At 38.1% G+C, this 24,839-nt stretch overlaps 1 protein-coding gene and 1 long non-coding RNA gene across 7 annotated transcripts in view; one reads left to right on the top strand and one right to left on the bottom strand.

Annotated features, from left to right (window-relative positions):
• The window catches only part of LOC101928540 (uncharacterized), a 75,715-nt gene extending 65,524 nt beyond the window's left edge, over positions 1 to 10,191 (bottom strand). Inside the window, exons 1-2 of the long non-coding RNA NR_125859.1 lie at positions 10,156 to 10,191; positions 7,693 to 7,719 (exon numbers count right to left, since the gene is read on the bottom strand). This is a non-coding gene — a long non-coding RNA (uncharacterized LOC101928540). The remainder of the gene's footprint in view (positions 1 to 7,692; positions 7,720 to 10,155) is intronic.
• The window catches only part of FILIP1 (filamin A interacting protein 1), a 201,942-nt gene that overhangs the window by 100,424 nt on the left and 76,679 nt on the right, over positions 1 to 24,839 (top strand). The window lies entirely within an intron of this gene.

Here is a 24,839-nt window from a genome sequence, read left to right as displayed (position 1 = left end):
ATATTTGTTTTCTTTTGGATATTTTTTCATTATTTATGGTGATCTGAATCTTCATATATTAGGTACTTAATAAATATATATGAATAACTTTATTTATTAACATTTAAAAATGTCATTATGTCTTTTAAAAAAATTCCATCTCTATGTACTTAAAGACAGTTTTAGTTTTATTATATTGACAGTGATTGGGTTAAACAGAGAAAGTGGAGGAATCCTTTCCTTCATCAGCAGTTCTTTATTTACTTCCCTGTTTCTGAGTCAATGTGAACCTCTAGAAAGAAAGAGGGACCAAACTAGGCAGCTTTGTGTAATCCAGACAAGAGATAATGGTGACTTGGATTAGGGCAGTGTATTAGTCTGTTTTCATGCTGCTGATAAAGACATACCTGAGACTGGACAATTTACAAAAGAAAGAAGTTTAATTGGATTCATAGTTCCACGTGGCTGGAGAGGCCTCACGATCATGGCGGAAGGCAAGGAGGAGCAAGTCACATCTTACATGGATGGCACCAGGCAAAGAGAGAGCTTGTGCAGAGAATCTCGTGTTTTTAAAACCATCAGTCTCGTGAGACCCATTCACTATCATGAGAACAGCATGGGAAAGACCTGCCCCCATGATTCAACCATCTCTCACTGGGTCCCTCCCACAACACATGGGAATTATGGGAGCTACAATATGAGATTTGGGTGGGGGCACAGAGCAAAACCATATCAGGCAATAACAGTGCTGGTGGGGGGAAAGTGCTAAGATTTTGTATAAATTGTGTAGAAGAGCTCATTGTATTTGCTGGCAGGTTGAATGTGGGATATGTGAGAAAGAGATTTGCTAAGCCTGACTCCAAGGTTGTTTGCCTGAGCAAATGGGAAATGGGTTGTCATTTACTGAGATGGAGAAGACTATAGGTGGAGAGTAGACAAGTGGAAACTAGAAATATAGTTTTGTACAGGAAGTTTCAGATGCTTAGACAAGTGGAAACCAGAAATATAGCTCTGCACAGGAAGTTTCAGATTTGAATCTGAAACTTTGGCATTTGAATATGAGTCTAGAGTTCAGGGAAGAGGTCTGGGATGGAGTTGTCAATTTGGAAGTCACATGTATATAGATGCTATTTAAAGTCCTTGAAATCCAGTAAAATCATGAAGAAAGCAAATTTAGATAGAAAAGATAAGAGGTCCAAGGACTAAGCCCTGGGTAATTCCAGCACTGAGAGACTGGGAGGATGAGGAGGACTCAGCAATGAAGAATGAGAATGAACAGTTTGAGAGGAAAGAGGAAAATCAGCAAGTAGGGCATCTTGGAGTAAAAGTGGAACATTTTTCAGGGCAGAGAGAAAGATCCAAAGTGTCAGATGCTGCTGATGGATCAAGAAAAATGAGGAGTGAGAGTTGACCATTGAATTCAGCAATAGACAGATCATGATTTGCCTTCATAAAAGAGTTTCAGTGGAGTACTGGAAGCAGAAGCCTGGTTGGAGTGGGCTCAAAGAAATCCCACTCACTTAGGGGGAGAGATTATTGGAGACAGTATGTATAGGCAATTCTTTAAATGAGTTGTGTTGTACAGGAAAGGAAAGAAATGAAGTGGGATCTCCAGGGGAAGTAGAGTCAAGGGAGGATCTTGTTCAGATGGAAGAAACAACAGTATGTTTGTATGCTAATGAGAATGAGCTAATATGGAGGGAAACATTAACAACAGGTAAAAGACTGGAGCAATGTCCTAGCTAGTCAAAAGAGGATGGGATTTAGTGACTAAAGTAAGAAGTTTGTGTTAATTAGAAGCACAGTCAGTTTACTTCTAGTGATAGGGGAGAAGGTCATATATACCAGCAAAGATGCAGTAGGTGTATGAAAGTGATAAGAGATAGTGGAAATTCTTCCCAAATTGTTTCAATTTTCTTGGTGAGTCAGGGAGCAATGGGGTAGATGTGTGATTTGATAAGGCAGAAGAAGTTATGAAATAGTATATGAGAGTGGACCGAAGGAATATAGTGTGATTTCTTGATAGAATTAACAGCCCAGTTAAAGTTAGTGACCATGAATTTGAAATGAGATCAGTTGGCATGAGTTTTTCTCTGGGGAGAGAGATTTAACCAAGGCTGTAATTTGACCAAGAGAGTACAATCATGTGAGAGAATGGGCATGACATTAAGGGTGTATGCAATTGAAATTTAAGCTGAATGAGAAGGAAAATGAGCGCATGGAAGGAGGAGGGTGAAGGCCAATTAGAAGATGACAAAAATCAATGGATTATAATGTGCTGCCATCAAAGCACTGTTGGATTTTGAGCTCTAGAGGGAATAAGCTGGAAATATAGAAGATGATGTTGGAGACCTGAAATTACAGATAGTTGTAATTTTTTATAATAATGGCAAAAACTAGGGTATGACCATACAAGTGAGGGCTGAGGTAGTGTGAAGGACAGAATCATGAGAGGAGAGAAGTTCAGGGAACTGGGAAGTCAGAACATCAGAAATATCATCTAAGAGGATATGGAAATCACAAAAAAATTGGCAAAAGTAGTATTAGAGAGAATAACAGCAATCCAGAGGCAAAAATCTTCAAAGAAGGAAGGAAAATGAATGACCCAGGGGTACTGAATGGCCCATGACTATTGATATGGTTTGGATGTGTGTGCCTGCCCAAATCTTATGTTGAAATGTAATCCCCAGTGTTGGACATAGGGCCTGGTGAAAGGTGATTGGATCATGGAGATGGATTTCTCATGAATGGTTTAGCACCACTCCCCTTGGTACTGTCCTCGTGATAGTGAGTTCTTGTGAGATCTGGTCATTTAAAAAGTGGGGTACCTCTCGCCTTGCTCTCTTGCTCCTGCTTTTGCCATGTGACATGCCTGCTCCCTCTTTGCTTTCTGCCATGATTGGAAACCTCCTGAGGCCTCCCCAAAAGCAGATGCCACCATGCTTCCTATACAGCCTGTGGAACCATGAGCCAATTAAACCTCTTTTCTTATAAATTACCCAGTCTCAGATATTTCTTTACCTTAATAGAAATGCAAGAATGGACTAGTACAGCTATTAACAGAAAGGATATAATTAATATTATCTGATGACATGAGAATAAAAGCTAGTATATTTTAGGAAGCAGGGAGAGAGAATTATTTGGAAGCAGTGATGATGAGCAAGGAGGAAAATCTACCCCACATCCAGGCCCATTGGTACAAGGAGAGTGGGATAGAAATTATCTGCTTCTGAGTTGTTGGGCAAGTAATGTCCTCAGGAGAGAGCCAGTGTTCCTTTAGAGAAGTAGTTCTCAAACTTGACCGCAGATGCGTAGACCATATCCCAGACTAATTAAATAACCACCTCTGGAGGTAGGAGCCATGGACCTGTATTTTGTTTGTTTGTTTGTTTGTTTGTTTTAAGCTTTGGATGATTCTGAAGTGCAGCCAAATTTGAGAATAACTACCTTAGAGCAAGGAGGTGAAGGGAACATTCTCAGAAGAGTTTGTGAACTGATGGGAGTTTACTTGTGGTTGAATGTGAGTTTCAGAGAGCACAGTGGAAGAGTCTCAGGAGATGGGGATAGGTGAGATATAGGATTAGAAAAAATGATGGCAAAATAGATAGACCGCTAGCCAGACTAGTAAAGAAGAAAAGAGAGAAGAATCAAATAAACACAATAAAAATGATAAAGGGGAGATCAACACTTATCTCACAGAAATACAAACTACCATCAGAGAATACTACAAATGTTTCTATGCAAATAAACTAGAAAATCTAGAGGAAATTGATAAATTCCTGGACACATACACCCTCCTAATACTAAACCAGGAAGAAGTCGAATCCCTGAATAGACCAATAGCAAGTTCTGAAATTGAGGCAGTAATTAATAGCCTACCAACAAAAAAAAGCCCAGAACCAGATGGATTCACAACTGAATTCTACCAGATGTACAAAGAAAAGCTGGTACCATTCCTTCTGAAACCATTCCAATCAATAGAAAAAGAGGGACTCCTTCGTAACTCATTTTATGAGGCCACCATCATTCTGATAACAAAACCTGGCAGAGACACAACAGAAAAAGAACATTTCAGGCCAATATCCCTGATGATGATTGATGCAAAAATACTCAATAAAATACTGGCAAACTGAATCCAGTAGCACATCAAAATGCTTTATCCACCACGATCAAGTCAGCTTCATCCCTGGGATGCAAGGCTGATTCAACATATCCAAATCAATAAACGTAATCCATCACATAAACAGAACCAGTAACAAACACCACATGATTAACTCAATAGATGCAGAAAAGGCCTTCAATAAATTTCAACAGCCCTTCATGCTAAAAACTCTCAATAAACTAGGTGTTGATGGAACATATCTCAAAATAATAAGAGCTGCTTATGACACACTCACAGCAAATATCATACTGAATGGGCAAAAGCTGGAAGCATTCCCTTTGAAAACCGGCACAAGACAAGGATGCCCTCTCTCACCACTCCTATTCAACATAGTATTGGAAGTTCTAGCCAGGGCAATCAGGCAAGAGAAAGAAATAAAGAGTATTCAAATAGGAAGAGAGGAAGCAAATTATCTCTGCAGATGACATGATTGTATATTTAGAAAACCCCATCATTTCAGCCCAAAACTCCTTAAGCTGATAAAGCAGCTTCAGTAAAGTCTAAGATACAAAATCAATATGCAAAAATCACAAGCATTCCTATACACCAACAATAGACAGAGAGCCAAAGAATGAGCGAAATCCTATTCACAACTGCTACAAAGAGAACAAAATACCTAGGAACACATCTTACAAGAAATGTGAAGGACCTCTTCCAGGAGACCTACAAACCACTGCTCAAGGAAATAAGAGAGGACACAAACAAATGGAAAAACATTCCATGCTCATGGATAGGAGGAATCAATATTGTGAAAATGGCCATACTGCCAAAGTAATTTATAGATTCAATGCTATTCCCATCAAACTACCATTGACTTTCTTCACAGACTTAGAAAAAACTATTTTAAATTCCATGTGGAACCAAAAAAGGGCCCGTATAGCCAAGAAAATCCTAAGCAAAAAGAACAAAGCTGGAGGCATCACGCTATCTGACTTCAAACTATACTATAAGCCTATAGGAACCAAAACAGCATGGTACTGGTACCAAAAAAGATATATAGACAATGGAACAGAACAGAGGCCTCAGAAATAACACACACATCTACAACCACCTGATCTTTGACAAACCTGATAAAAACAAGCAATGGGGAAAGGATTTCCTATTTAATAAATGGTGTTGGGAAAACGGGCTAGCCATATGCAGAAAACTGAAACTGGACCCCTTCCTTACACCTTATACAAAAATTAACTCAAGATGGGTTAAAGATTTAAATGTAAGATCTAAAACCATAAAAACCCTAGAAGAAAACCTAGGCAATACCATTCAGGACATAGGCATGGGCAAAGACTTCATGACTAAAACACCAAAAGCAATGGCAACAAAAGCCAAAATTGACAAGTGGGATCTAATTAAACTAAAGAGCTTCTGCACAGCAAAAGAAACTATCCTCAGAGTGAACAGGCAACCTACAGAATGGGAGAAAATTTTTGCAATCTATCCATCTCACGAAGGACTAATATCCAGAATCTATCCAAGGAACTTAAACAAATGTATAAGAAAAAAATAAACAACCCCATCAAAAAGTGGGCAAAGGATATGAACTTTTCAAAAGAAGACATTTATGCAGCAAACACATGAAAAAAGCTCATCATCACTGGTCATTAGAGGAATGTGAATCAAAACCACAATGAGATACCATCTCACGCCAGTTAGAATGGTGATCATTAAAAAGTCAGGAAACAACAGATGCTGGAGAGGATGTGGAGAAATAGGAACGCTCTTACACTGTTGGTGGGAGTGTAAATTAGTTCAACCATTTTGGAAGACAGTTTGGCAATTCCTCAAGAATCTAGAACTAGAAATACCATTTGACCCAGCAATGCCATTACTGGGTGTATACCCAAAGGATTATAAATCATTCTACTATAAAGACATATGCACACATATGTTTATTGCAGCACTATTCACAATAGCAAAAAATGGAACCAAAAAAATAGCAAACTTTGAACCAACCCAAATGCCCATCAAAGTTAGACTGGAAAAAGAAAGTGTGGCACATATACGCCATGGAATACTATGCAGCCATAAAAAAGAATGGGTTCATGTCCTTTACAGGGACATGGTTGCAGCTGGAAACTATCATTCTCAGCAAACTAACACAGGAACAGAAAACCAAACACCACATGTTCTCACTCATAAGTGGGAGTTGAACAATGAGAACATATGGGCACAGGGAGGGGAACATCACACACCGGGGCCTGTTGGTGGGTGGGGGGCAAGGGGAGGATAGCATTAGGGATAGCAAAGGGAGGATAGCATTAGGCAAAATACCTAATGTAGATGATGGGTTGGTGGGTGCAGAAAACCACCATGGCACATGTATACCTATGTAACAAACCTGCACATTCTGCACATGGATCTCAGAACTTAAAGTATAATAAAAAAGAAAAGATGGTGGCAGAACCAAATACAGATTTGAGTTTGGAGGGTGAGAGAGATGAATTTTCTCTTTGTTTTACTGGTAGTTCTAAAAGTACCAAGTGCCTCCACTTTAGCAGCTGCAAAATCAGAGTTACGTAATTGTTTTCTTCGTTTGTGGCTTTGGTGAATCCTTAGGAGGCGTGGCTAGGAAAAGCAACGCCCAGACACCTCAGGAAGAGATGCTTCAAATGTTTTGCTGTGATTAAGTCATCTTGAGATGTAAGCCTTGAGAACTCATCCCGCTGAATGTGACACTATCTCCAAAACAGCTACTAAGACTTCAGCTGGAACTGATGTGGCCGTATTGCTGCAGCTCCATGGTATCTTGCTAAGCTAGCTCTCAGGATTAAGCAAGTGAAGAGTGGCTGTAGAAAAAAGGCTTCAGACTACATGCTTACTGGCCTTGAAGGTCATGAAGAAATGTGCAAGAACACTCTAGGGATATTCCCATAATATTATTTAACAAGACTGGCCACTGTTGAACATGAAGTGAGTTCAGTGCTGAGAAATCTGGCGATGCTGGTTAACTGATCTCATCCACCTGCCTCTTCTATTTAGTCATCTTCACCATGCTTTCATCTGACCACTTGCTTGGAGATGATGAAGCACGATTATGACAGCTCAGAGAAGGTTCCTGACCACAAAAACTCAGTAGAGGTCAATGCATATCATTGTCTGAAACAATAATTTTTGGCAGCTTGGTAACTACAAATAAGCAGTAGGAGTTTGAAACAAGCTAGGGAGAACTTGAACCATTTTATTGACTCTATCGTAATCCAGAAAGTTCTTTCCCTGAAACTTTCCAGCTATTAATATAAATCTTGGCCAGTGGTTCTTGGTCATTTATTTGGAAAAAGTAGATACATTGGAAACATTATACAAGCTAGTACGGCAAAGATTTCCCAATGCCATAATCAATGTTATGCTGCCAGATAAAGCTCAGGGTTAGCCTATCATGAAAAAAAAAAAAAAATCCTAAGGGGCTACAAGTAATGGGACCATGATATGTAACATGCTTAACCAGAGTGCTCCCCACTTTGAGTGAAGATTGGTTATTGGAAGTAGTTAATCAGCTTATAACAAAATTAAGTTTTTCCAACATCTTCCCTCAAGAAGATTATCAAACTTACCAACCAGTTCCTGGTTGACTTCAGGATCTGCATATGGAAAGAAGGCATGATATAAATAATACTATATATATACTTATCTGAAAATTAAGGTAAAATATTGCATTACATGATAAAGGAGTAAGAGAAAAATACATTGCATCAGATATTTTAAGTTCAGTAAACACATTCCTATTGCTAATTGACAAGTGATGTATTTGAATACACAGTCAAATATCAGTGAAACATCAATTACCATTTTTTAGGGCATTGATTTTACAGTCATAAGCTGCTATTGACAAGCTGCTATTGATATGTATGCCAGCACTCCTTCAAGTGCGCCCAATAGCATTCAAATGCTTCTTAAAATATTAATTTTGCCAAAAATTGCTCATTTCATGTTTTAAAAATTAATTAGCATATGAATTAATTCCTATGTGAGATTACTGCAATATATTTACTAGTGATTTAGCATAATGGAGAGATCTCTGGTCTGAGAATCAGGAGACTGGGATTCTAATGTGCAATCGAGAACCAATTAGTTGTATTCCTTAGGCAAATTATTGACTTCTTTGAATTTCTATTTCTTTAGTTATAAATTAAGAAATTAGGTTGGGCGTGGTGGCCCACTCTTGTAATCCCAGTACTTTGGGAGGCCGAGGTGGGCAGATTGCTTGAGGCCAGGAGTTCCAGACCAACCTGAAAACATGGCGAAACCTTGTCTCTCCAAAAAAAAAAAAAAAAAAAATAGCTGGGCATGGTTGTGCTCACTTGTAGTCCCAGCTACTCGGGAGGCTGAGGCGCGGGGATCAATTGAGCCTTGGAGGTTGAAGCTGCAGTGAGCCATGACTGTGCCACTGAACTCCAGCCTGGGCAACAGAACAAGACCCTGTCTCAAAAAAAAAAAAAAAAAAGCAATTAAATTTTTTTGTTGTTCTAAATTATTCTGATTCTATAAATCAAATGGTCCACTAAGGCTTGGAGCCAATTAGATGGTCAAAAAACAGGAATTAAAGATTAATCCTGAAGACTTCCCAATGCTATTTCATGCTCTAGAACTTTCCTTTCACCCTTCCTTCCAAAAGGTGGCTTGATGAACAATTAGCTATAGGAGTAACCTTCCGAAATCTCACTCCTACTAGATTATAAAGTCATACAAACATAGGATTATGTCCTACTCGTATGAGATTCACCACAGCAACTAGCCACATACTTTGCACATAGCTGCTAAAGGAATTAGTTAGCAGATGGAATGAAGGATGGAAGAAGAGGGGGAGGAAGAGAGATAGATAACTAACTGTTCCATTTAGGATGTGCAGGTGCTAAAGGAAAGAGAAGAAGTAGCTAGATCTGTCAACTTCCATATAAAGCAAGGAGCAGGACAAATCAGAGATGTCTGGTAAAGGTTTGATTTAATTACTACAGACATAAATCACAGTGGAAATTGTTATTTCAAACAAAGTTAACAAAGTGGAATTCTAGTCTAACACAATTATTTGATCTTTTCCTTGGAATTTTTTTTGTATTAGAGTTTGATCTAAATTTTAGGTTATAGATTCAGGTAAAAAAAATTGAGAACACTGAAAAAGACTCAACTGAAAGACGGACATAAAAATAGAAGAGGCTTGATTAATTTATTGAAAATGAAATACAAGACATAACAGTTATGGTGAAATGAGTATTAGTGGCAACGAAATTTAATTCTCCTTGACCTTTCCATTCTATTGTTGAATAAAAAAATAAGGTGGTACATATTTGAGAGGTTCTATATGGATATATGTATATGGAGAATTTATAAAGTATAATATTAAGATTGCCAGCTCTGAAGTTAGGTTGCCTGATTTCGCATTCTGACACCACTTATTAGTTAATGTGACTGAGCAAATGACTGAACTTTTCTGCACCTGCCTCAGAGCCCTCATTTACAAAATGGTGATAATAATAGTGTCTATCTGATAAGGTTATGTAAGGTTTAAATGAGATAATGTTTAAAAAGCACTTTGTCCATTACTTGTCTAAGTGCTTCATAATGTTGTTGGGTGGGGGAGATAATGCATGTGTTACTACTACATTTGTATATCTACAGAGAAAACAATTTTGAAATGATCCACTTCAAATTATTAATAGAATTAGCCTTGGTGAGTGGAATGTGGGAGGATGTAGCATATACGTTTCATTTTGTTTAACCACTTCTCTAATGTTGATTTTTTTATAACAAACATTTTTGTGTCATAATTTTGTCTTTAAATTTTGATGGTAGGTCTGAAGAGATAATTTACCACTGTAAATTCATTCAGAGAGAGCACAATTCAAACTCATTTATGCAGAATTAAGGTAGTAGAAGAGACCATAAATAACAATTCCTTTTTAGGGGGACAATATTTATATGCATATTCAAACCTATGGTCTCCATTAATCCTTTAGATTAAATAGGATTTTGCTATTTCCACCAGAGTTGAGAAAGTTGAGAGACTTCCCAGATCTTACCTTGTTACTCACCTAGTGAAGATCAGGGACAGAAATGACTCAAGTGCCCTGATTCCACAGAGCCCCTCCACTGCCTTATGACATCTACAGTGTCCATCATTCCCCACAGAGCTCCAGTTTTAAAGAGACAAAGAACAGTGCATTTACATAATCTTGAAACCCAGCAGAATGGAGAGTAACAAGTCTTTTGGGCAACTGGCTAATTTGTTTTAGATCTATATGAAAACATAGGTGAAGACTCTCAAAATATATGGTCACCATTCAGGTAATTTCTTATCTCCTGAAAGGTTTAAATATATTTTATGTTTTAGGCTTTTGTGGCTGATAAACTGAAGCCTTTCACCTTGTGGCTAATTTAACATGGTTAGCTTTGGTTGAGATCTCATTTTTCTGCCTGCAGATTCACAAGATCCCCCAAAGTCTATTCAGTAATTGTGATGCATTCCTGTAGCATTTAAGACTAAGCCCTAAAAGCTTTGCTTTGTATACTTGATCTGTAGCGACCTTTAGAGTTTGCTGCCCATTGAACCGAAGGTCTTCCTTGTGAAATCATAGAATAGTGCCCCAGTTCACTTTCTGTTACTTGATATCACTGAACAAAAATACCATTATCAGTGCCTGAGAAAAAAAGAGATATGGTACCCTGTCTCTTTAACAGTTTAAGAATAGCAAGCACAGTAGAGTTAATTCTTTTGGGGGCTGTGCCTTGAGAATTTTCTGGCCCAGAATCAAACTACAGATAATTAATTATGTCAGTGAAAAGCTCTGATGGCCTGTTCTCTTCAGAAAAAAGTGACATCATCCATAGAATTCTCTGGCAATAAAGCAGAACAAAGCTGTGAGTGCAGGAAATAACAGACAGATGTCCGTGAGTGCATATTTTATCTACTTCAAAGTACATTGCAAGAAGTCATGCTCTAGGGCTGTCTCCCAGCAGCAGTGGCTTGGCAAGGGGTCTTGGAGAGTCAGAGAAGTTTACAGGATTGGGTTCACTGCCTCACGTGCCCTGGCCTGAAGATTGAAGTGCAGCATCTTTAAGGAAGCTATTGAAAAAAGATAACAATGCTCAAAAAATGTTGGCAAGACCATGAGAAGCCAATCAAGTTATGTAGTGTGGGGAAATTGGACCAGATGGCTATGGATGGCACCACTTGTGGATGATTGTTAGTACAGGAAACATTACCCAGTGAGTTTTGTTCCAGGGCTTTCCTTTGCTCTGTGCTTACATCATATTTTCACTGAAAATTGTTATTAACACCTATAGCAACATATAATGGAAAGAACAAATATTTTGGAGTTAGATAACTCTGTGTTTTACTAATGATGGGATCTTGGTCAAGCTATTTACTTTATCTGAGCTTTATTTTTTCATCTATAGAATTGGAATTAAGAAGCAGTAAATTAAATAATGCTCCTGAAAGGAATTTTCTCCATGCTAGAGTAAAATGTAAGAATTGGTTGTTTTTAAATTCAACTCTGTCCTTTCCTGCAAAATATATTACATATCTAAATCTACAAATCCAAAGTCAGACTTATATTAGCTAGAACAAATGTCTACATACACAAGCAGTTTTAGGTATAATAGAAAGATCATTGTTTCAAAATTTCAGGTGCCAGAGGACCAGAAATTCTACTGTTAGAAATTTAGTCCTTTGAGCTGAAATACGTAGCACTTTCTTTCAAAAAAAATTGTAGGCCAGACATGGTGACTCACGCCTGTAATCTCAGCACTTTGGGAGGCCAAGGTGGGCAGATAACGAGGTCAGGAGTTCAAGACCAGCCTGACCAACATGGTGAAACCTCATCTCTACTAAAAATACAAAAATTAGCCGGGCGTGGTGGCACGCGCCTGTAATCCCAGCTACTCAGGAGGCTGAAGCAGGAGAATCGCTTGAACCCGGGAGGCAGAGATTGCAGTGAGCCGAGATCAAGCTACTGCACTCTATCTTGGGCGACAGAGCAAGGCTCTGTCTCAAAAAAAAAAAATTGTATCTAATTATCAAAGTAAAACCAGTCTGATATAGATTATTTAAAACATGCATTCTCAGTGTCATCACTACTGTTCTCAAGAGAGTGAAATTTGGTTCTGTGGGTGACAGTAAAGAAATTTTAGATGTGACAATGGTTTATGGCCCTCAAAAGGATCACAGAATATAAATATATGTACAGTATATATCTATGGTATTAAAGTTTCAAAAGAGAGCAATACCAGAAAAGATACCTAAAAAGTCTCCTTAGGAGGACAAAAACAAGTTTGAAAAACAATGATTTAGGAAAATTTAAAAGTTATGAAAAAAGTTTTTCATAATCATCCATAATTCTACCAACCTAAAAGAATGATTGTGGCTATTTTGGTGGGTATTTTTCTTCACATGTATTTTTTCCATAATTGCAAGCACAGTATATATGCAACTTTAAATATTTATAATAAGCATTTCCCACATCATTCAGCCACCCTTGGATATATTTTTAATCCTTGTATAATATTTTATTCTATGGGTGTACTGTATTTTACTCAGATATTTCCTTATTATTGAATATTTATTTTTCCCATTTTTTACTATTAAACATAACGTCATATTTCTGCAACAATCTTTGTCCTTCTTTTTAAACAACTCAATTAAAGGGTATAAATGTTTTTGAAGACTTGTGTGTTTCTGTTGTCCAGTTACTTTTTAGAGTCATATGTCTTCCCAACAAAATTATGAGAATGCCTATTTATCAAACTCTCACTTGCAATAACTATTATAGTTCTAAAATTTGTCCTGATTTAAGAGGTGAGTAATGGTATCTCATTATTGTTTCAATTTATAATTCTTTAGTTGTTAGTTGAGTTGAACTGTTTCTTAATGAACATTTTATATCTCTTTAGTGAACTGTCTATTTATACCTTTCAGGCATTTTTCTTTTGAGCTTTAGGGTTCTTCTCACTGATATATGTAAACTCTTTATAATTAAGTATAGTTACCCTATATCTTTCATAGTTGTTACAAATATTTCCTTTCTTTTTTTTTGCCTTTTAATTGGCTATGATTGTTTTTTACAGTTAGAATCTCTATTTTTTTCTTTGTTATTTCAGAGAACGTCTTCCCTGTATTCAGAAGTCAGATAACTACCCATGTATATTCATTCATTCATTCATCCAGCAAATATTTATGAAGTATCTGCTATTGGCCAGATACTATCTTTAGGCATTGGGGATAAAGCATAAACAAATCTTGTTGAACAAACAACAAAAAATCTCAGTCCTTAAGGAGTTACATTCTAGAGGAGGAGACAGACAAGAAACAAAGTCAGTCGAACAGATCTGTTAAAAGATAGCAATCCTATGGAGACAAATAAAGACAAGAAAAGCCCTAGGATATTTCAGGGATGAGGATTGTAGTTTTAAATAGGAGATCAGGAAAGTTTCCACTAAAAAGCTAACATTTAAATAAAGACCTAAAGAAGATGGGAGAGCACACCATGCGGGAAGAGCATTCTAGGCAAAGGGGCAGAGGCCTTAGGGGAAAGCGTGCCTGGAGAGTCTGAGGCACAACAAGGAGGCCAGTGCAGATAAAGCCAAGGAGAGAGGAGGTAGTGGTTATGAGAAGGAGCAATGAAATCTGCAACAGCCTCTCCAACACTTGGGTCCTGTTGCTGGGTTTGACTTCGCATCCCAGATTCTTCTTCCCTAAGAGTGAGCTTCCTCAGAGTCTCTGTTGTTTCTCCCAATAAGTCTGCCTTGGTTTGACCATTGCAATCTATCTAACACCTTTGAATAAGTCTGAAATTCAATGATAGACCTCTCTCTCTCTGTCTTTTTCTGTCTCCATTAGGCATCTTTAGCTTCTGTGTAAAGCAGTAATGCAAACGAAACAGTCGCCTATTTCTATATGCAAAAGGCATCTGAATATCAGCAACTTCCAGTCAATATTCCTTGTAATATGTATTTCTATATTTTAAAAAACTGAGTAATAAACTACATTTATACCTAGTAATAAAAAAACAACTTGGGTTCTAGTCATGGCTTGGTTGTGAATCAACTGTATATCCTTGGTAGGGGGTAGGCAATAATAACAACTTACTTTTATGAAATGCATAACATTTAATTCATTTTAAAGGGTAATATTTTAAGTTATTCACCTTACTTCAGCCTAGATTTCTCATTCATAAATGAAAGCATTAAGTTCGATGATCTCTAAAGCATTTTTTCAGGTATTATGTATAGGTAAAGAAATAGAATTCAATTCCTGAATCAGGATCTTTGAAATGAGGGTCATGTGTTTTATTCCACATATTATCAGCTCTATATTTTAGATTTTGGTGGTGGCAAAACCTATGTTGGTACCCTTATTTTGGTACCAATTTCAGTATTAATAAGGGTAGACAGGGACATGCTGCAATAATAAATTAATCCACAAATACCAGTGGCCAAACTCTTTCTCATTACTATATTTGTCCAACTTGATTTGATGGGAACAGAGGGTGTTTGTGTTCCATGTAGTCACTCAGGGACCCAAGCTGATGGAGTTTTCACCATCAAGTGAAAATGCCATCAGTTTTCTCTTCACGTGCATTAGTTGTTTGGACAGGAAGAAAAAAGTAGAAGAGTTGTGCATCAGTTCACTCATCATTTCTCATAGCCTATTGACCACAGCTAGTCACATAACCCCCTCCAGTCACAAGGAGGCTGAGAGATTCGGGATGCTAACATTTATTTGTAATCCCTAAATCAATACTTGCTGTGCTTTCATGGCCATTCCCAGACATGCACAGAGAGGCCAAAAATTTGTGTTGCCTATGTGCATGTTTCCAACAGAGGCTGAACAGGCTTTTGTCTGCCCTCTTGTTTCAGCTCTCGTACTATAGACAAGTATCTTTTTTGCTATCTATTTAGTGCCACATGTTTCACATTTTTGTAGCTTTTGTTGCTGATTTTGCTGTTTAAAATGGCCCCAGGCAGAGTGCTGAAGTGCTGTCTAGTGTTCCTAAGTGTAGGACATACTTTAAGGAGAAAACGTGTGTCAGGTAAGTTTCCTTCAGACATGAGTCCTTCAGACATAGTGTCATTGATCATGAGTTCAATGTTAATTAAGTAACAGTTTTTATAAAATAAGATGCCTTTAAGCAGAAAAACATACAAAATAAGGTAATGTATTGATTGGTTGATGAAAATAATGTAAAGAAAGACTCACAGGACTCCAACTCTGTGTTTCCCTGGGGAGCAATGATTCAGTATTCACTAATTTCATGTTTGTGGCAACTTTATAGAACATAACTACTACTGTGAATAATGAGGATCAACTGTTGTTCACTTCTATTTCTTCTTCATGTTCAATAAGGAATCTGAACCATGGAGAGATTTGACAGAAATTTTGTGAACATAAATGAAACTAATAAGTCAATATCTCTTGGAATCTAAACTTTCTCTAGCGAAGGGCAAAAAGGTAGCTTTTTAAAAAGCAGTTCTGTCCTTTGCTTTGAAAAGAAGAAGCACAATAAATTGTTGATGGATAAGTAGGATCCACACATACACACCATTCAACAAATGTTTACTGAGCACCCACTTGTGTCAGTCATTGTGCTAGGAGCTAGGGACACAAAAGAGAACAAGAGGCTCCTGCCTTCAGTGCTCTCAGTCTTGTGGGAAGGGAGAAAGGCGCAATTGTAATTACAAAGTGGTGACTATTGTGAATAGGGAAGTATCAGGTATCAGAAATGGCAGGTCTAGAAATTTTATGCTCACTCAAATCGCAGAGCATCACGTATCTCTTAAACAACAGCACTTAGGTAACAGTACATATGAGATGTTCATGTTCAAAAAATTTTTGAATGTGTCCCATCTCTGGTCCAATATATTGAAAGGGCAAGATAATTTTACAAGCAAATGCAATTGACTATTTGGCATTTTAAACAGGCCTTGTAAGGCCAAATATTGCCCATGAAAAGCAGTTAACAAATCACAAATCATAAATAAGTAGACCCTTTTTTCAAGGGTCTAGTTTCTTTTTTTATAAAAAGGACATTCCAAGTAGGAACTCAATGGGAATATTGTTAAAGATGCAATTTTTAAAAAACTTAACATTTCTAATTTTTGTGCTTATTTTTATTTTCCTTTCCTAAATCAGAGAGCTTGACTTTGGTTGCATCCTTCATATATGGGCAATATTTACCTTCAGCATGAGTACTAGCAAAATGTGTTATGTAGCATTGTTTCTTACTGATGCTGGGTTTAAAAAAAAATACTAAGAAAAGTTTAGAAAAAATAGTAAGACATTTCTGCTGTAATATAATCTTTTGACAGTGGTGATGAGGGAACTGCAGACTCTACACAGTGTAGTCCAAATTTTTGAATTAGGGAGGGAGCTGCCTCTTTAAATCCCATCAACAAGTAGTTCAAGAGGCCCAGAGGGTGGCACAAGCTGACACAGAGTTGCTAGTGGTCCACTAGGTTCATGGCACAGGAATCACAGATGTTTTTATGAATGGTTTGGGTAGTCACCAAATATTGGGAACAACAGGGATGAGAAAAAAATGTCTTAGTCTTTAACTTATTGGTTCAGTTTATGGAAAGGCTTTTGGTTATGTTGCCCAGTGGATCAGGCAATTCGCTCTTATCAGAAAAAAAGAAAAAGGAGGAAATTGCCTTTCATTGGGCCTCACTGTATGTCAGGCAGTATATTAGTCACTTCACAGATATTTCATTCTCATGCAGGTTGGGGAGCTGAAATTCAGAGCTAACTGGCCCGAGGTCACATAGCTGTAGTAAACAAAAGAGCTATAATTTGTTTGACTCCCAAGGGGTGGGGAGTAACCAACATTTACCAGGCACTTTGTATACATTAGCCCATGAAAAATCTGTGAGGTAGCTATTGCTATGCCCATTTTGCAGACAAAGAAACAGTTCAGAGAGGCACACTAACCTCTCTGAACTGTTGTACCGATGCATGTTTCTAACACAAGATTCCCTAGGGCATGCTCTTTCTACCACATTGCATCTCTTGAGTAGGAGTAAAAATAAGCAAAAAACTAGCTCTGAGTCTATATCAGAAACTTGCTTTAAAAGAAAAACAAAAAGCAAATGGATTCAGTAAGGACACAACAATATTAATCTTCAGTACATCAGAAAATTGATAACTTATAAGGACCACCCTGAGTTTTCAAAAAGACATTATGTACCTTATATATTTTTTAAGTGGAGGGGGACTTTATAATACATTTGAGGATGTACCTGTGCCCAAACCCTTAAAATTAAAAACTCTAATATTTAGCATACTAACTCTGATTTTTTTGTAAAAGTAAATATACAGTGTGACATTCCTCAAAAGTTCAGAATGGCTGAGATTTTCTTGCATTTTTGTTCAAAAAATTCAACAGTAGTTTTGCTAACTTGGTCAAATGTGTAAGTGTAGAATTCACTTATGTCAGAGGCTAAAATGAATAGATCAGAAAACACAGTAAACCCAAAGAAATTCAATGTTATGTGATTCAAATAAACCTCGTATAAATTCTGGCTAGACAATGTAGTTTTATTTTGTTTGATCAAGATAGTTTCTCTTTTGAAAATGCTTTACCCATATCTCCAGCCCTCACCAGTCTGAGGATAAAAATAAGATCAAAGACTTTATAAAGCTATCTTTTCCCTCTCTTGCCCCTGCACCCTCCCGCTTGGTGAGAATGCCAAGCTCCTTTAGGTTATCTCATAAGCCTTGGAAGACCCCAGAAAATGACCCACACATGTTCCACACACTCCTGTGGGATAATATTGGCATTTGCCATTTGCCCTTTTTTCCTTCTCCAGCCTGCTGTGGGTCTGATGGCTGCCCCTGTAAGTGCACAGCGAACACAGTTGTGTGTGCCCCAAAGACTCGCTCTTCTGTTTATGCCAGTTGTTGTCTACTTGGAGGCTGCTCAGGCTGATGTCTATACTGAGAGCATGATGTAAGCTATAGACAGGGCTACTCTTCCCCACCTTCCCCGCTTACTGCTGAAGCTGTGGTGCTTTGAATTCTAATTTACCAATTCCTCTAGTTCTTACTTGGGTCTTTCATGACAATCCCTCACCCCAGGACTCAGGCAAGGGCCGATGGGGGTGGGCTACATGGGAGACTGAGTGACAGACACTGTGCTGCACTCAGACTCACCCCTCCCCTCTGACCCTGCTCTATTGTCCTTCAACCAAAATGGTGCCCTTCCTCCCTGGGGATGAGTTCTTTCCCAGGAAAAGCCTCATGCAAATAGCTGTGTGGCAAGGCCACCCGCCACTCAGTCCTCCAGATGGAATTACATAGAAGGATTTCCCCCTCGAGCTGCAAAAATAACTTCTAGAGATAACTGAAAAGGAGGCAATCACAGGAAATTAAGAAAGAGGTGAAGAAAATTTAACTTAATAAACAGAGTTGTACCAGAGATGCTTGATTTGTCCTGGGTCTCATCTAGCTGGTTTCTGTTGAGGGGATTACATTTACTAAGCTGGATAAACAACCACTGTGAGAAAATGTCATCTAGTTGTACCTTAGCAATGACTTCTCCCATGTTCTAAAAAATTCAGCTTCTCACTGGCCCGGCACAGTGACTCGTGCCTGTGATTCCAGCACTCTGGGAGGCCGAGGTGGGTAGATCACCTGAGGTCAGGAGTTCGAGACCAGCCTGGCCATCAATGGTGAAACCCTGTCTCTACTAAAAATACAAAAATTAGTCTGGCGTGGTGGCACGCGCCTGTAGTCCCAGCTACTCAGGAGGCTGGGGCAGGAGAATTGCTTGAACCTGGGAGGTGGAGGTTGCAGTGAGCTGAGATCGCACCACTGTACTCCAGCCTGGGCGACAGAGCAAGACTCTGTCTCAAAAAATAAAAAAAGAATTCAGCTTCTCACCTGGTTCACAGAAAGCTGGACCCTATCTGCTGATTATGCGTACAGGTGGGCAGTTTAAGGGCTCTGCCTAAGGTCTTTATCAGCATAGAACTGAGAGCTTGCAGTCTTTTAGAATTTAAGAAATTATACACTGTAGGATGATAGCACTGCATGGGGGAACCTGTGACCTTATCTAATTTTTAATCCAGGACACTGCAGCTGACACACTATTAATATCCTAATGTGTGTAAAATAGAAAAAAGAAGAAAACCACGTAATAAAAATGCATTCAAATCCGTGGATGACAGTGACATTCAGATGACTAATCACAGGAAAATATGACTACACTTTTATAATTTATTACATGGAATTTTAGTTTTTTGTTTTGTTTTGTTTTGAGATGGGGTTTCAGTCTGTTGCCCCAGCTGGAGTGCAGTGATGTGTTCTACCTCCTGGACTCAAGTGATCGTCCCTTCTCAGCCTCCCAGGTAGCTGGGAATACAGGCACAGGCCACCACACCTGGCTAATTTTTGCATTTTTTATAGAGACAGGGTTTTGCCATGTTGCCCAAGCTGGTCTTGAACTCCTGGGCTCAAGAAATCCACCAGCCTCAGCTTCCTACAGTGCTGGGATTATAGGCCTGAGCCACTGCGCCCAGGTTGAAATTTTAGTTTTTTCAAAAACATAATCTCTAGATAGAAAATTGGGGAAGATTTTAATTTTCTTTTCTTAGTTGATTTTTTTAGGCAGGTGAATGTATACTTAAATTTTTTTAAATTGTTGGCCAGGCGTGGTGGCTCACGCCTGTAACCCTAGCACTTTGGGAGGCTGAAATGGGAGGATTGCATGAGGCCAGGAGCTCAAGACCAGGCTAGACAACATGGCAAGGCTCCATCTCTAAAAAATAAATAAATAAATAAAAATAAGATTGTGGTAAAATATATGTAATATAAAATTGACCATTTTAACCATCTTTAAGTGTACAGTTCAGTGGCATTAAGTATATTCACCTTGTTGTGCAATTATCACCACCATCCATCTCCAGAATTATTTTCATCTTCTAAACTAGAAACTACTAATTAAAAAATAGCATCCCTTTTCCCCTTGCTCTCTGCCCTGGCAACCACCCAGTGTTCCACTTTCTGTCTCTATGATTTGAGTACTCTAAGTACCTGTAGTGGAATCATACAGCATTTGTCCTTTTGTAACTGACTTGTTATACTTAGTATAACATCTTCAAGATTCACCAATCTTATGGTACATGTCAAAATTTCCTTCCTTTTTAAGGCTGAATAATATTCCATTGTATGTATGTACCATATTTAGTTTGTCCATTTATCAGTCAATGGATACTTGGATTCTTCTTATTTTTGACTATTGTGAATAATATTACTATGAACATGAGTGTTCAAATATTGTTTGAATCTCTGCTTTTGATTCTTTTGGGATCATATGGTAATCTACTTTTAATTTTTGAGGAACTGACATACTATTTTCCATAGTAGCTGCACCATTTTACTTTTCTACCACTAGTGCACCAGGGTTTCAATTTTTCTGTACCCTCACCAACTCTTTTCTTTCTTTCTTTCCTTCTTTCTTTCTTTCTTTCTTTCTTTCTTTCTTTCTTTCTTTCTTTCTTTCTTTCTTTCTTTCTTTCTCTTTCTCTTTCTTTCCTTTCTTTCTTTCTTTCTCTTTCTTTCTCTTTCTTTCTTTCTTTCTTTCTTTCTTTCTTTCTTTCTTTCTTTCTTTCTTTCTTTCTTTCTTTTTCTTTCTTTCTTTCTTTTCTTGATAGCCATCCTGTTGGGTGTAAAGTAGTATCTCATTGTAGTTTTGATTTGTGTTTCCCTAATGACTTGTGATATTGAGTATCTTTTCATGTGCTTTTTGGCCACTTGTATATCTTCTTTGAAGAAATGTCTATTTGAGTCCTTTGCCCATTAAATTTTTTTTTCTTTTTTGCCATAAGAGTTCTTCAATATTCTAGATATGGATATTAATTCCTTTTTTTTTTTTTTTTTTGAGACAGAGTTTCACTCTTGTTGCCCAGGCTGGAGTGCAATGGCATGATCTCAGCTCATCGCAACCTCCACATCCCAAGTTCAAGCAATTTTCCTGCCTCAGCCTCTCGAGTAGCTGGGATTACAGGCATGCACCATCACGCCCAGCTAATTTTATATTTTTAGTAGAGACGGGGTTTCTCCATGTTGGTCAGGCTGGTCTCAAACTCCCGATCTCACCTCAGGTGATCCACCCACCTTGGCCTCCCCAAGTGCCGGGATTATAGGCATGTGCCACTGCACCCGGCCTCTGGATATTAATTCTTATTGCACATACGATATGCAGATATTTTCTCCCATTTTATGGGTTGCTTTCCACACTGTTGATTGTGTTCTCTGATGCAAGGAAGTTTTTAAATTGAACATAGTCCAATTTATATGTTTTTCTTTTGTTGCCTGTGCTTTGGTATCATATCCAAGAAATAAGTGCTATATCCAATATCATGGAACTTTTCTCCTGTGCTATTTCTAAGAGTTTTATAGTTTTAGCTCTTACATTTTTATTAATTTTGAGTTACTTTTTGTATATGCTGCAAGGAAAAGTTCCAACTTAATTCTTCTGCATGTGGACACCCTGTTTTCCCAACATTTGTTGAAAAGACTCTCCTTTCCCCACTGAGAGATCTTGCACTCTTGTAGAAAATCATTTGTCTATATATGCAAAAATTTATTTGTGGGCTCTCTATTCCATTCCATTGATCGTATGTCTGTCTTTATGACAGTACCACACTATTTTGATTAGTGTAAGTTTGTAGTAAGTTTTGAAATCAGGAAATGTGAGACCTCCAACTTTGTTATTTTTCAAGATTATTTCAGCTATTCATGGTCCCTTGAGATTCCATATGAATTTATGGATTTTTTTCTATTTCTGCAAAGTCATAATTGGGATTTTGAGGATTTTACATTTTAAAACTCAAGCTATCATGGTGGTGGCAAAGCAAGTTTTAACATAAGAAATTGCGTCTGTTTCTGATATTTTAGTAACAGATTTCTTTTGGTGGATATTCAGTCTGAAGTGCTACTCTTTTATGAACAAGCTCTATATAGGCTTTTAGGCTACTATTGACCATATAGTTGTGGAGAATAATTTCTCCAAAGAGAGAAAAAGTCACATTTTTAGCCCCAGTGGCCCTGTAACCTAACTATGTCTGAATGTTCTTCTTGTACATAGTTGTATTATGAATCTTGTTAACTTTGATTTCTAAAATTCAGTGGAAAAAATGGGTTTAATTTCTATAGTAACAGCTAATAACATTATACATTACATAGCTTTTTTTCTTTCAATCTGTTTATAATATTAGTATTTATCCAACTCAGGTAAATAGTATAATTCAATTTGTATGAGATTTAAAGATAGTCCATTTCCTGTTGCAACATTCTGGTGGAATGTACTATTTTTCCTTATTCAGTTTACATATTTTCTTTTTGGAATAAACTTAAAAAGAAGAAAGTGGGCTGGGCACAGTAGCTCATGCCTGTAATCCCAGCACTTTGGGGGGCTGAGGTGGGCAGATTGCTTGAGGTCAGGAGTTCGAGACCAGCCTGGCCAACATGGTGAAACCCTGTCTCTACTAAAAATACAAAAATTAGCCCGGGGTTGTGGCAGGCGCCTGTAATCCCAGCTACTGGGGAGGCTGAGGCAGGAGAATCGCTTGAACCTGGGAGGTGGAGGTTGCAGTGAGCTGAGATCATGCCACTGCATTCCAGCCTGGGCGACAAGAGCAAAACTCTGTCTCAAAAAAAAAAAAAAAAAAAAAAAAGAAGAGACTCCCAAATTACAGACAAATATATCAGATGAAAGAGTAAAGAGGTTGACAAAATGTAATTGTTTAGATCTTTTGAACAAGGCTAAGTAGTTAAGGTTGTTCTGAGATTTTCAGTGCCAGTTTATGCCTCTCTGACTTTCACATCACTTAATTTTACTTTTATTTATTTCAGCAAATATTTACAGAGTGCCTACCATGCAGCAGGCACTCTTTTAGGCGCTATAGACACAGTCTCCCAAGGCAGTCACAGTCCTCACAGCAGCTCACAGCCTCAGAAGGAAATAGACAAGTAAATTAATAAATTACCATATGTAAGTAGATACAGAATGGTTGAGTGGGAAAGCAGAATGGGAAAGCAATCACAGAATGGGCATGTTACTGATTTTCCAGGACTGTCTTTTCTAGGGCTCCTTGACTCACTGCAGCAATGGGGTCATATTTAAGAAGTTAAATAATACAAAGAAGCGATAGTGCTTGGGAACTGTGTCATTCTTCCATAAGCATAGAAATGGATTTGTCCTTTCCTCAAAATGGATCTATCATTTAAAGTCAACAGCTTTTGGCAGGAATGCCTTCTTTAAAGTGTGTGGTGTCATTAGGTAAGGGCAGGCTTCTAAAACTTCCCACTGGCTATGCTTCCTCTCAGCCAAGTGAGTGGATCATCGTGCTGGGGTCATGGTTACATCGTCTAAGAGTCTGTCCCAAGCTGCCTGGCTGAAGCAAATGCTATTTTATATCTTTTGTTTTGTTCTGAACACTCAGGTGAATATTAAAATTGTATGAATATTCTGAGTTTTAAACTACTTATCATCTACCCCAAGTCTTTCAGTAATCTTAGTGCTAAAAGAAGATGCACCATGTTTATCTCCAAGCTCCAAGGCTCGTGGGCATTCCATCCCCGTTTTAGAAGTGTGGAAGAAGCTCTGTCATAGGAGCATAAGAACTAAGTATTCTTTCCTACTCATTATGTTTTTTTTTCTTTCAAAGATAGAAAAGCCACACAAGTTTAAAATACAGTTAAATTGTCGTCAGACATAATAATTAGTAATGGCGTTGTACCTTTAAAAAAAGCTAAGTTGTGGAAACATGATCAATGAAATTCAGTTCCTGAGCATAATAAGCCCATTTATGGCTGCCTTGCTAGACACAGGAATATTATGGAATATCCAGTCTCTTTCTGACCGGTGTTTGTCATAGGGTGACCAACTTGTCCTGGTTTGCCTGGGACTGTCCTGGTTTGCAAAAGTCCAGATTCACAGGACTCAGCTTCCCTTAGTCTCACACAATCTGGGACATTTGGTCACCCTCATTTGCCCGGAACTGGCAAACACTTCCAGCAGTCTTCAGGGATCCTCCTCATTTAGGCTGCTGGCTGGAAATGACCATGATTCTTTGGTGCAGAAAGGTCAGGGACTAATAATACAGGGAGAATAGTAAAAAACCTCTGAGGCAACAAAGTCCCTGGGAATCAGACAACCCTGCCAAGAACCTTGAGCTAACACAGCTAGAGTTTTAAGTATTTTTGATGCTGAATTTGTCATCTGTCCTAGAGCAGTGATTTCCAAGTGCAGCTGTGCTTTGGAATCACCTACAGAAATATTTCAAAACACAGTTCCTGGCCTGCCCCAACAGACTGGCTAACTTAGACTTTCTGTGCCTTTAACACAGCAGATGAATGATGTTTCCAGCACGCAAATCTGACCATCGCTGTCCTGCTGCTCAAAAACTCCAAAGTCTCTTGCTTTTCTGTGACAAAATCCAAACTCATTGCATGGCTTACAAAGCTTTTCATGAGTTTATTACTCCAGTCTCATATTGCACCATCCCATGCATTTAAATCTGTTTGGCCTTTGTATAGTCTTGCCTGGGCCTAGAGTACTCTCACCTTACCTCTTCTTTCTGTGGCTCAAGTATTCATTATGAGAATTCAGGTCCTTAATCCAGGAAGCCTCTTCTGTTAGCTCAGATTCAAGTTAAGCGTTCTTCTAGGTGACGTCCTTAGCCCCAAGTATTTCCTCCACCTAAG

The sequence above is a fragment of the Homo sapiens genome, chromosome 6, assembly GCF_000001405.40.
Source record: "Homo sapiens chromosome 6, GRCh38.p14 Primary Assembly".
Taxonomy (NCBI): Eukaryota; Metazoa; Chordata; class Mammalia; order Primates; family Hominidae; genus Homo; species Homo sapiens.
Note: the sequence above shows the minus strand (reverse complement) of the source record. Positions and strands in the feature narration are given on the sequence as shown.